Raw genomic sequence first — 12,832 nt, forward strand, 5'->3', positions numbered from 1 at the left:
AACAAGGTATTCCAGTACTTTGAAAATTAGTTCAAATTTTATATCAGCTTTTATTTTGCTTCTAGACCTGTAAAGCCAATCTCCTCCCTCCATTACTGCTGGAAAAATAGCAAAATGTTTCCTTTTGATCATTCTGGCTCAATATCATCATTAGCTGTTGCTTGTGGGTAAATAGCTTATATTTCTTCTAAATAGTATAGTAGAACAAATATGAGAGCTGTCTTACATAATTTTATTTCTAAAATTGTTAGGCAATTAGGGATAGAGCTACTGTAACATTCTGTCTTAAGTTTATTTTTTACTAAAATGATAATATTGTATTTTTTCTTTTACTTATGATTGGTTTTCGCATTGCTGCATGTCATTTTGAACACCTGGCTTTCTTCGTTGAACAACTTGATTTCCTTTAATCCATGTGAAGACCTTAGTATTAGTTATATTTATGTTATTTCATTAACGCTTTTGTTTATACATTTAGCTCATTCGATTAAGGGTAAGAACTCCTGTGCTTTTTAAAAACCTTTCCAAAACCAAATAGAGAAATTAGTCATTTGTATATATTTCTTTTTGTCTGTTTTAGGATGGCTACAATAGACTAGTTAATATTGTGCCAAAGAAACCACCACTGCTAGACAGACCTGGTGAAGGAAGCTACAATAGATATTACAGTCATGTTGATTACCGAGACTATGACGAGGGCCGCAGTTTTTCTCATGATCGAAGAAGTGGTCCACCTCACAGAGGAGTATGTAAATTTCCCCCATGTACTAATTGTTATTTCTTATAAGTTTAAAATTAATGTAATTTAAAAATTTATGTGACGGCCGTGAAAGCAGTTGAATAAACACTTTCTGCTTGATGCTCTCATGTGAATTGCCTGCTGGAGCTGTCAGATGGGACCTAATAGTCAAGAATCTTGGGGTACTGGACAAAGTAGGTAAGCACTCTGGGTGGCACTATCTAAATGAAATTAATTCCAACCAGCCTGCTTTTTTTATTCCCCTAAATTGGCAGGGATTTGCAAAACCATTTAAAGGTAATCTGTTGTCTTAGTACTTAATAAGTGATGAGCAGGTGGTTACCATTTCTTACTAGATAACCCACTTAATTTTTTTTTTTTTTTGAGACAGAGTCTTACTCTGTCCCCCAGGTTGGGGTGCAGTGGCGCGATCTCGGCTCACTGCAACCTGTGCCTCCTGGGTTCAAGTGATTCTCCTGCCTCACCCTCCCAAGTAGCTGGGATTACAGGCACGTGCCACCGTGCCTGGCTAATTTTTGTGTTTTCAGTAGAGACAGGGTTTCACCATGTTGGCCAGGCTGGTCTTGAACTCCTGACATCAAGTGGGAGGTCACTTGATGATCAAGTGGGAGGCCCACCTTGGCCTCCCAAAGTGTTAGGATTATAGGTGTGAGCCACCACTCCCAGCCTAAAGTCTATTTATTAACTGAGATTAGAAAGCACTCAAAACATCGTCATAGGAAGCAATTTAAAAATGTTAGCTGGCTGGGCATAGCGGCTCACACCTGTAATCCCAGCACTTTGGGAGGCTTAGGTAGGTGGATCACCTGAAGTCAGGAGGTCGAGACCAGTCTGGCCAACATGGTGAAACCCTGTCTCTACTAAAAATGCAAAAATCAGCCAGGTGTGGTGGTGGGTGCCTGTAATCCCAGCTACTTGGGAGGCTGAGGCAGGAGAATTGCTTAAACCTGGGAGGTGGAGGTTGCAGTGAGCCGAGATCGCGCCACTGCACTCCAGCCTGGGCGATAGAGCGAGACTTTGTCTCAAAAAAAAAAAAAGTTAGCTGCTATTATTACTATTACAACTCGCTTCTCTTGAGCATTCTTAATAATGTAGAAGTATGTATTTAATGATGCAGTAATCTGTAGTTGAACTTAATACTATTCTGTGATGGAATTCCTCTGTCCTACCTTGCATGTTTTCAGTATTCCTTAGCTAGGTTGTTTTCCCACCTTTTCTCTTTTTCCCCCTTTCCTACTGTATAATATGACAATTAACAGTACATATTCAAACCCTGTTTATAAAATAATTTGACCTCACATTGGCTGTTGGAATTAGTTTTCATACTTTACGCTTGAAGAAATGGAGGTAAGGTGATTTACTTAGGATCGGTATGTATGGGAGTCTGGTTTCTCTTACTACTGCATCATAGTGACCCCTAACAATTCCAAAGTTGTAATGAGACTATTCAGTGTTTTCTCGTGTTTGTTTCTAAAGTTTGGGGTTTTATAGCTTTCTTAGTTTTCACAGAATTGATTTTTATTTTATTCAGCTTTTGAATGTCATGCTGCTTTTTGTGGTCCTCATATTTATTACATTTTTATTTTATTTCAGTAGCTTTTGGGGTTCAAGTAGCTTTTGGTTACATGGATGAGTTGAATAGTGGTGAAAGTTTGAGATTTTAGTGCACCGTCTCAGTTGTTACCACTTTTATGAAAATCCTATGTGAGTTTTCTATTCATTGGACCAGTTTGTATTTGAAACCTCATGAAAATGATTTTTTTTCTAAAAACTTGTAGCATAATAAAGCTTCAATGGCAGTTTTTTCTAATATTGTTACCAATTGTGTTTGTCTTTATACTTTTGTGTGTATAACATTTTTTCTTTAAATTCTCTTCAAACAAACAACAAGCATACTTGTGATCCTTAAGAGTCTCATGACACTAATTCTTATATAGAGTTCAGTTATGTAATGCAGATTACTTGATTTAATATTTTATTAGCACTGTTAAGTTTTGAATTGTGTTTATATTTAATATTGAGATGGAAAATGATTATATTTTATTTATATAAGAATAGAGTGTGTGATGCTAAAGAGGAAGATGAGGATATTTATTTTAGACGAATCCGTTTTCCTGATACGTAATTTGCATATTGTATTATTCTATGTATAATTTTATTTATTTATTTTTTGAGACAGAGTCTCATTCTGTTGCCCAGGCTGGAGTGCAGTGGCAAGAACTTGGCTCAGTACAACCTCCGGCTCTTGGGTTCAAGTAATTCTCCTGCCTCAGCCTCCCGAGTAACTGGGACTATAGGTGCACGCCACCGTGCCCGGCTAATTTTTGTAGAGATGGGGTTTCACCATGTTGGCCAGGCTGGTCTCGAAATCCTGAACTCAAGTGATACACCCTCCTTGGCATCCTAAAGTGCTGGAATTACAGGCGTGAGCCACTGCGCCTGGCCAATTCTGTGTGTAATTTTAAAGTAATTTGGTGTGGATTGCTATATGGTTCTTTTTTATGTACCTTTGCAAATATGTCTTAGAGAACAAAATGTGCTTTGTTTGATTAATTTTAAATTTATTTAAACTTAAATAAATTTAAATCTTATTCTGATATAGATTATCAATAAGTGACAGTTTCTTATATTGTTTCCAGTTTGGTTTTTAATTGAAAATAAGGTGAGAAAATAAAACTTGAGCAGGAAAAATGGGAAAGTAGCAAGTTTTTCATTGGGCTTGAAACTGAAAATTGGTGAGAGAACTTGACAGAAGGAAAAATGTGAGGTTGAGAAATGTGTGCTTTATTAAATTTAGACTTTGTTCTCAAATAGCCCTTTACTGTTGTGATATTGATATATGTATCTTTGGCAATTAGCTTGTTTGAGTCTACCAAAGAAATAATTTAAGCATTTTAATAGAGATAAATGGTACCACAGGTTCTCAGTCAGTCTACTCTTTCAGTTGTTGAAATGGATGACTTGCTGAATGTTTTTCCCTTTTTATGCCTTTGAAGTTTAGGGAAATTCGGTCTAGTTTCTGGTAGTATTGTTAGATATGTCCCACTTGTCCAAAATAATGTAAACAAATAGCTAAGTAGCTTTTTTATGTTACAGGATGAATCTGGTTATAGATGGACAAGAGACGATCATTCTGCAAGCAGGCAACCTGAATACAGGTAAAAGGATAAAAATAATAGCATAAGTACTTTGATACTTGACTCACTGTGATGTCTGCTTTGGAAATATAGACTCAAGGCACATAGATGAAATATTTTACTGGGATTTTAAATTTTGAAAGCAACAAGCATTATATTCTTTTTGTGACTATGTAGTATAATAGCACTGATAACTAGTGTTCCACATCTCTTGGCATTTTGTAACTCATAAAAAAATATTTAAAAATATTTGGGCCTGGTGCGGTGGCTCACACTGTTAATCTCCGTGCTTTGGGAGGCCAAGGCGGGCAAATCACTTGAGGTTAGGAGTTTGATACCAGCCTGGCCAACATGGTGGAACCCTGCCTTTACTAAAAATACAAAAAAAAAGAAAAAAAAATTAGCTGGGCATGGTGGCAGGTGCCTGTAATCCCAGCAACTAGGGAGGTTGAGGCAGGAGGATTGCTTGAACCTGGGAGGTGGAGGTTGCAGTGAGCTGAGATCGTGCAGCTGCACTCCAGCCTGGGCAACAGAGTGAGACTCCGTCTAAAAAAAAAAAAAAAAAAGAACTATTGTGATTTAGTTTTGCAATCTAATTATTAAATTATTAATGTGTGGTATGGATTATGAGGTTTGCTTAATTAGTATTTGATTTGATAGGTTTGCTTAATTAGAAAGTAAGGCTTTTTTTCAGAAGTATTCTGGGTTCTTACAAAGTCTATTATAAGGCATCTCAGTTTCTTTAATTAGTGAAGTCCTTTTGGGAAACACATTTTGCAAGGGCCTCAATCGTTGGCTTTGATTACTTACAGAGGGCATCTAATAGAATAGTTGTGGGAAAGAAACGATGGACACATTTAAATTGATTGATAGTTTTTGTTTTTAAATGACATCACAGTGGTGGTATCGAAAGTTGTAAAAGGAGCCTTGTAGAGATTTCTTATGAACTATCAGGGAAAATAACCCCAGTCTCATAGAGAGTGGCAAGGCATCAACTGTCACAACTCCAAAGATGCCAAAAGTAGACAAGATTCAGTGGATCAGAGCAAGACAGATTTTTATTCACAGCACAGCAATCAGCAGGAGGATCAGCATTGTAGTGTAGGTTCCCTGTCCCCAAATCCCACAGGGCGATGTGATAGGCACAGATGGTGACTGTGCACACAGTGGGATACACTGTGGCTGTGGAACCCAGGGTCAAGAGCTTGGTACCTTTTGTAGAAAGCAGAAAGCAAGCTAGTCCTCCTTTCCCTGGGAGTGACCTGCCATAGTAGTCACATTGTGGTCACCTTAACCTATTTAATTGTCTCTGTAACCAGCTACAGAAACTGTTCAGTGTCAGTGGATAGTTAGGTCTTGGAATTTGGCATACATGGCAATTATGTGCAGGGACATTCAGAACCCATGGCAGACTGTTTCTTCCAAAAGAAGCAATAGAATAGATGCCGAAAAAAATGCTTTGATAAAATTAATCACCAAGTAGTTATAAAAATAGCCAGCTGGGAATGGAAAGAGAATTTCCTTGACCGGGTAATTGGGCATTTGCTGTACTGAATGGTAAAATTAGAAACATTTGCTTTAAAATCAGAACAAAACAATGACATCTAGTCACTGCTTCCACTCAACATGGTAACAATGCCTACAGTAAAGCGAAAAATAAATAAGTTGTAGGAATTAGAATGAAAAACGCAACTACTTAAAGATAATATAATTATGCAGAAAATCTAGGAAAGTCTATAGACTGTAAGAACTATTATGAAATTAGCAAGGTCCAATGTAATAAGATCAACTATCAGCATAAATTAGAAAATTTGTTTTCAAAATACTATAGCATGAAAACTGTAATGAGTGATAGGAATAAACTCACCAAAAGAGTATGAGGCCTATACAAGGAAATTACAAATCATTTCTAAAGGAAATAAAAGTGAATCAGAGTAAAAGGAGAATCATGACATCCTTAGCGAGGAAGACTCAGTATCATATAAGTGTCAGTTCTCCTCAAATTAAGGTGGTAATTCAATTTGGTTCCAGTCAAAGATCAAAATTTTTTTTATTTTTTATTTTGCACGGAAGTTGACAAGTTAATTTTAAGACTAATATGAAAGAGTAAAGGGCTAAATGGCAAAAATGCCTTGAAAAAGATGTGAAGACTCAAGATACCATATGTGCATAATTATAAAGCTGTAGTGATGTAAACAGTGTTGTACTGTTGATGTCAAATAGACCAGTGAAACAGAATCTGCAAATAAACCTAGATATATCTGGAGTTTGGGGTACAGTAGCAGTGGCATTACAAATCCAATGGAGAAAGAATGAACTTTTCAATAAATAGTGTGCTGGGACAAACATTTCAAAAACATGACATTGGAAGCTGATATATCCAAATAATATCTGACATAATTAAGACCTATGTGAAAGGCAGAATTGTAAAACACTTTTAAAAACTAGATCAGCTAGTGGCTTATCTTTCTCCTCCAAAGAAATACCTCCCAAGAAATTTATTTTAGCTTAATTGTTTTTATTTATTTATATTATTTTTTATTTGTATAAATTTGATGGATACGAGTGTAGTTTTGTTACATGAATATATTGTGTAGTGGTGAAGTCTGGGTTTTTAGTGTATCCACCACTTGAATAATGTATATTGTACCCATTAAGTAATTTCTCATCCCTCACTCACCTCCCACCCTTCCAAATCTCTGTCTCTCATTCCACTATGTCCATATGTACACATTATTTAGCTTCCACTTATTAGTGAGAAGTGAGAACATTCAGTCTCTGACTTTATGTTTCTGAGTTGTTTCACTTAAGATAATGGCCTGCAGTTCCATGCATGTTGCTGCAGAAGACATGATTTCATTCTTTTTTTATGGCTGAATCGTATGCCATTGTATATATGTACTACATTTTCTTTATCCAGTCATCCATTGACGGACATTTAGGTTGATTCTATATCTTTCCCATTGTGATTTTTCAGTTTGTAAAATAACAGTTTTTATGTTAATTTTAATTTTCTCTTCCTGTCTCTTTTTTATAACATTTTGTGTATGTATATAACATTTTACATAAATGAAATAAAAACATATATATAAATCTCTAATCCCCACAGCCATGATAACATCTTGGTATAAGTTCTTCTATATTTTTCTCTATATTCATAAACATTTAGGGTTTTTGATTGTTTAATTGAGTCTTTTTTTGTTGTTTGTTTTGAGACAAAGTTCTGTCACCCAGGCTTGAATGCAATGGTGTGATCATGGCTCCCTGTAGCCTTGATCTGTCAGGCTTAAGCATTCCTCCTGCCTCAGCCTGCTGAGTAGCTGGGACCACAGGTGTGTGCCACCACACCCATCTATTTTATTTTATTTTATTTTTTAACTATTTTGTAGAGATGAGGTCTCACTTTATTGCCTAGGATGGTCTTGAACTCCTGGGCTCAAGCGATCCTCCTGCCTTGGTCTCCCAGAGTGCTGGGATTATAGGCATGAGCCATTGTTCCCGGCCAAATTGAATCTTTTTAATGGTCAAGTAATAGTCCATGGTGAGGATATGTCAAATAATTTAGCTGGTCACTCTGTTTACAGTACAAAACAGTGCTGCAGTAAATTCTAGTACATAATATTTTCATGAAATAGTACTTTAGTTTTTACGAGATAGGTTACTAGAAGCAGAATTTCTGGGTCAGTGGGTATATATATGTATTTTAAATATTAATAGATGTCAGTTTGCCTGCTAAAAATGGTTTAACATGTGTGTTTAATTTTTTTTAATAAAAATCTTAACATTTTAATTTAGATAATTATTTTTCTTTCTTATTTACTAATATAAGTAGTTTGAAATTTCCTTTAAGTAGTGCCATGACAGTATCCCATGATTCTGATATATAGTAATTTACACAGATTCTGACATACTGTATTCTAATTATTCTGTGATCACAATGTTGCCTGTACTGTAATTTTACTTTCAAAATCCATTGATTATTAATGGTTCATTAGTTGATCAGCTTCCATAACTGTACCATGGGCATTAAAACAAGGTATATTCTCTGTTTTCAGAGTATGGAGTTCATTCTGTATGGTATATTCATTCATTTATTAAATATTTCTTGTGGTATCTAATATGTCAAATGCTCTTCTAGTCTCTGGGAATATAAAGCCTCTGTCTTCATGTAGCCTACATTTTAATATGAATTATACATATTTAACAAATAACAAAACATAATTTTTACAAAGAAAAAGCAGGGAATAGAGAGTATTTGTACTGTCCACACCTGCTTGTGTCTTCACTTGACGTCTGAGTTATCTTCAATAATGTCTCAGGTTTTATGCTATCACAGTAGCTATAGCTTTTACTGCCTGGCATCTATCTGGCTTCTGTAAGCTGTTCTCTGTATCAGGTGGGCTCATTGACGATTTCCTACTTGAAAGACTTTGTGAACAGAAAATAGCTGTTGTTGTAGAAAAAGATTTAATGCATTGTGAACCGTGCAAAGAGAATTGTTACATCTATTGGTAATGTTCTGAGCAGTTAGGAAAGCCATGTCAGTATTTTTGTTTTTGTCAGTGGGGTGTACAAAGTGATTCTTTGTGCTGTAGGAAGAAAATATTAAAAGATTTGAAAAATTGACCAGGTGTGATGGCTCACGCCTGTAATCCCAACATTTTGGGAGGCTGAGACAGGCAGATCACATGAGGTCAGGAGTTTGAGACCAGCCTGGCCATTATGACAAAACCTTGTCTCCACAAAAAATACAAAAATTAGTCAGGCATGGTGGCAAACACCTGTAGTCCCAGCTACTCGGGAGGCTGAAGCAGGAGAATCACTTGAACTCAGGAGATGGAGGCTGCAGTGAGCTGAGTTCACCCATTGCACTCCATCCAGCCTGGGTGACAGAGCAAGACTCCATCTCAAAAAAAAAAAAAGAAAAATTGCAAGAATAACTGAAAACTCCTGTAACCCTTCACTAGAGATTTCATTAATGTCTCCAGAAATGTCCCCAGTAATGTGCTTTATAGCAAAAAACTTGAATCTGGGCTCATAAATCACATTTTCATAAGCTTCTTCAATCTGGAACAGCTCCTTAGTCTTCCCTTGATTTTTATGGTTTAGTGTTTTTGGCAAGATGAATACAGGGCAAGTTTTTTTTTTTTCTTTCTCAGTTTAGGTTTGTCCAGCGTTTCTTCATTTCTTCATGATTAGAGATTAGGTCTAGGTTATAGGTTTTTGCCAGGACAGTTCCTGAAGTGATGCTGAATTCTTTTTTTTTTTTTTTTTTTTTTTTTTTTTGAGATGAGGTCTCACTCTTGTCACCCAGGCTGAGGTCTCACTCTGTCACCCAGGCTGGAGCGCAATGGTGTGGTCTCGGCTCACTGCAACCTCTGCCTCCCAGATTCAAGTGATTCCCCTGCCTCAGCCTCCAAGTAGCTGGGACTACAGGCGTGTGCCACCACCGCTGGCTAATTTTTGTATTTTTAGTAGAGACGAGGTTTCATTATGTTGGCCAGGCTGCTCTTGAACTCCTAACCTCGTGATCTGCCCACCTTGGCCTCCCAAAGTGCTTGGATTACAGGCATGAGCCACCGCGCCCAGCCGCCGAATTCTTTTTCTTCCTATAGGCTGCACATGTTGTTTGTGTCCTTATTGGTATAGTTGACTTTTATCACTTGTTTAAGATGGAGTCTGCAAAGTTTCTTTACTGTTAAGTTGTCCTTCCCCCTGAAATTGCTTTGTGTGGAGATACTTTGAAACTATGTGATTGAATCATTTCCTGTTCCACTTTCAGCTGCTAGTTTTAGCATCCACTGATGGTTTTGCCTGAGTTAATTATCAATATTATGGACATAGTATTTATGTCCCCCCAAATTCATGTTGAAACCTTAGCCCCCCATTATGATAGTATTAGGAGGTTAGGCCTTTTAGGAGGTGAGATTTGGTCATAAAGGTGGATTCCTCATGAATGGGATTGGTGCCTTATTAAGAAGAGACATAAGAGCTTGCTCTCCACCATGTGAGGATACAATGAGAAGACAACCATCGTCAGACCAAGAAGAAAGTCCTCACTGGACACCAGATCTGCTGGTACCTTGATCTTGGATTTCCCAGCTCCAGAACTATGAGAAATATAAATAGTTTGTTGTTTAAGCCTATGATAATTTGTTACGGCAGTCCAACCCTACTAAGACAAATATAATGGGTTTTAATGGGTGGTTAGCCCATTCTTTCTATATTTATTATGCTGGCATTCTATTGTAAGGAAGAACATTCTCCTCACCTCTTTACTCCCTTAAAACAGACAAAATTTTGTTTATATATGTATGGACTAATAGATGCCTATTTTATTCAGTGAGTTGTAATTCATTGCTGTCACTATTTTGATGCTTAAATTTGGCCAGTGAGAGTCCCTTCAAGTTAGCTTCTGTGGTTGGTTGGTTGGTTGGTTTTGTTTTTCAAATATTTGCTTGTGACAATATATGTAACATAATAAAGTATGCCATTTACACAATTTTTATGTACACAATTCATGAGCATTAATTCTATTGACAGTGTTGAATAGAATTAATTTAATTCTGGTGAGTACAGAAACCCACATTTGAATTGTTTTCAACTTTTGGCATTGTGAATAATGCTACAGTGAACATTGGCCTACGAATACCTCTTTTGAGTCCGTGTTTTCAGTTTTTTGGGTACATATGTAAGAGTGGAATTACTGAATCATATGGTAATCTATGCTTATCTTTTTGAGGAACCATCAAGCCATTTTCCCTAGTGGCAGCACCATTTTACTTTCCTGTTAGCAATGTATAAAGTTCCCAGTTGCTCCACGTTCTTGCCAATGCTTGTTATATTCCATGTGTTTGTGTCTGTATGTGTGTAACCATCCTCAAGAGTGTAAAGTCATATCTCATTGTGGTTTTGATTTGCATTTTCCTAATGATGACTAGTGGTGATGAACATCATTTCTTGTGCTTATTGTTCATTTGTATATCTTTGGAGTAATGTCTGTTTTGAGTTTTTTGATTTTTTTTAACTGGGTTTTTTGTCTTTCTGTTGTTGAATTTTAGGAGTATGATATTAAACTGTATGTGATACATGATTTGCAATATTTTCTTCCATTCTGTTGATTGTCTTTTTACTTTATTGATAATATTCTTTGATGCACATTTTAAATTTTGATGAAGTCCAATTTATCTAATTTTTTTCTTTTGTTACTCATGCTTTTGGTGTCATATCTAAGAATCCGTTGCCAAACCAAGGTCATCTGTGTTGTTTTGACATGTCCACGTCATTCTTTGGTCACCTCTTTCTGACACAAGATGTTTCAGTCTCTTCTTAGGCTTCTCTGCCTCACTCTAAATTCAGGTGTTTCTCCAAGGAGCACGGGCCTTCTATAGTGGAGAGTGATTTTTTGAAGCTAAGAATCTGAACACACAGACACACACACAGACTTTTACTTCTGCATTTATTTTTATACAGTGTTTATGTGTATTCATGACTATGAGATCATGGCATTACCTTTTCTTTTATTGCATACTTTTATCTCCTTTTTCCATCTGTGGGAAATCTGGCTCCCAGTTGTTAGGAGAGACAGTCCTCCATGGGTGTCTTGCACTCCTGCACATCTTGCCAAGATATGCAAGACCCTGGTCACTCATTATTCAGGGTAGTTCTCAGAGATGTGTTTGTAATGAGCAATCTTGAAGGCCAGAGTAATGTCTCCCTGTTTGTCAAACAGCAGGCTTGCTTATTGCTTGGTGTAAAAATGGTGGGTTCCTTAAGTTCAGTGTTCCTCAGTTGTGACCCACACCCACTGCATGTGCCACATTTATCTAGGCTTATATCATGTTACCCCTGGACTTGGTACCAGAGAGAACTGACACAAACATGCCAATGCTTGTGTTGCTATGCTATGAGTGATAAAGTTTTTTCTCTGACCCAGAAGTCTGCTAGGATCCAGGAAACAGTAACAGTCTTAATTTATAACCTTGTAGGTAAGGCAAAGTCAAATTCCAGACCTGACACCAGTATCATCACTGTGTTTGTTCACACCCCTAAATGTGATTATTATCCTGACCCCATGAGTCTTTCTTATTGCTCTCTCCAGCACCTTTTTTAAAATTAATTAATTAATTTAAAAAAAAATTTTTTTTGTAGTTTGCCACCACTGGGTGGGTGTTACAGGGCCACCTTGCATTCACACCATCTTCCACAGGCCTATTACTGGCAGTGGAACTTTATACTCTAGCTATTTTTTTTTCATTTTGTTATGTGTTTCATGCTGTGGAACATACTTTATAAATCTAGTATACGTGTATTAGTGGTTTATATTCAAATGTGTTTTACTAATGGAAGCGTGGAATCATTGGAAGCAACTAGATTAAATAACAGCTAATGGAAGAAAAGAGAATGTGTCAAGTTTTCTGTCATTTTCCCTGATGCCCACTCCCCACTGCCCTGCCCCGCTCTGAAAGTGATCACTTTCATATTTGGGCATGCCTGGTGAAGTTATCTACATTTCAAGTGTGTCATCACCTGCTCGTCTTGTTTCTGTATTTACACAATGATTATATTGTCTATTTTTTCAAAACATACTTATAGATGAAATTCAGAATATATCAGGATTTATTTCATTTTGTATCAAAGAAACATGCTATACTCTACCAAGAGTTAGTGACTTAGAATGAGGTTGTTTTCAGGTCATTTTTTCCCCCTGTAGTTATGAGATCTTATAATAAACCTTAGCGGTCGGGCTCAGTGGCTCACACCTGTAATCCCAGCATTTTGGGAGGCTGAGGTGGGCAGATCGCTTGAGGCCAGGAGTTTGAGACCAGCCTGGCCAACATGGCAAAACCCTGTCTCTACTAAAAATACAAAAATTAGCCAGGCATGGTGGCACGTGCCTGTAGTCCCAGCTACTCAGGAGACTGAGGCATGAGAA

General features: G+C 36.9%; 1 protein-coding gene across 41 annotated transcripts in view; it reads left to right on the forward strand.

Annotated features, from left to right (window-relative positions):
- The window catches only part of PPHLN1 (periphilin 1), a 122,455-nt gene that overhangs the window by 25,138 nt on the left and 84,485 nt on the right, over nt 1-12,832 (forward strand). For 20 of the 41 annotated variants that reach the window (XM_017019434.2, XM_011538459.2, XM_017019436.2 and 17 more), the window contains 2 exons: nt 581-745; nt 3,857-3,918. The exons of 1 other annotated variant lie outside the window; for it this stretch is intronic. In XM_017019434.2, the coding sequence (XP_016874923.1) occupies nt 581-745; nt 3,857-3,918 (227 nt within the window). The remainder of the gene's footprint in view (nt 1-580; nt 746-3,856; nt 3,919-12,832) is intronic. 20 more of the 41 variants (NM_001364823.2, XM_047428973.1, NM_001364831.2 and 17 more) reach the window with 1 other exon arrangement.

This window comes from Homo sapiens, chromosome 12 (genome assembly GCF_000001405.40).
Source record: "Homo sapiens chromosome 12, GRCh38.p14 Primary Assembly".
NCBI lineage: Eukaryota > Metazoa > Chordata > Mammalia > Primates > Hominidae > Homo > Homo sapiens.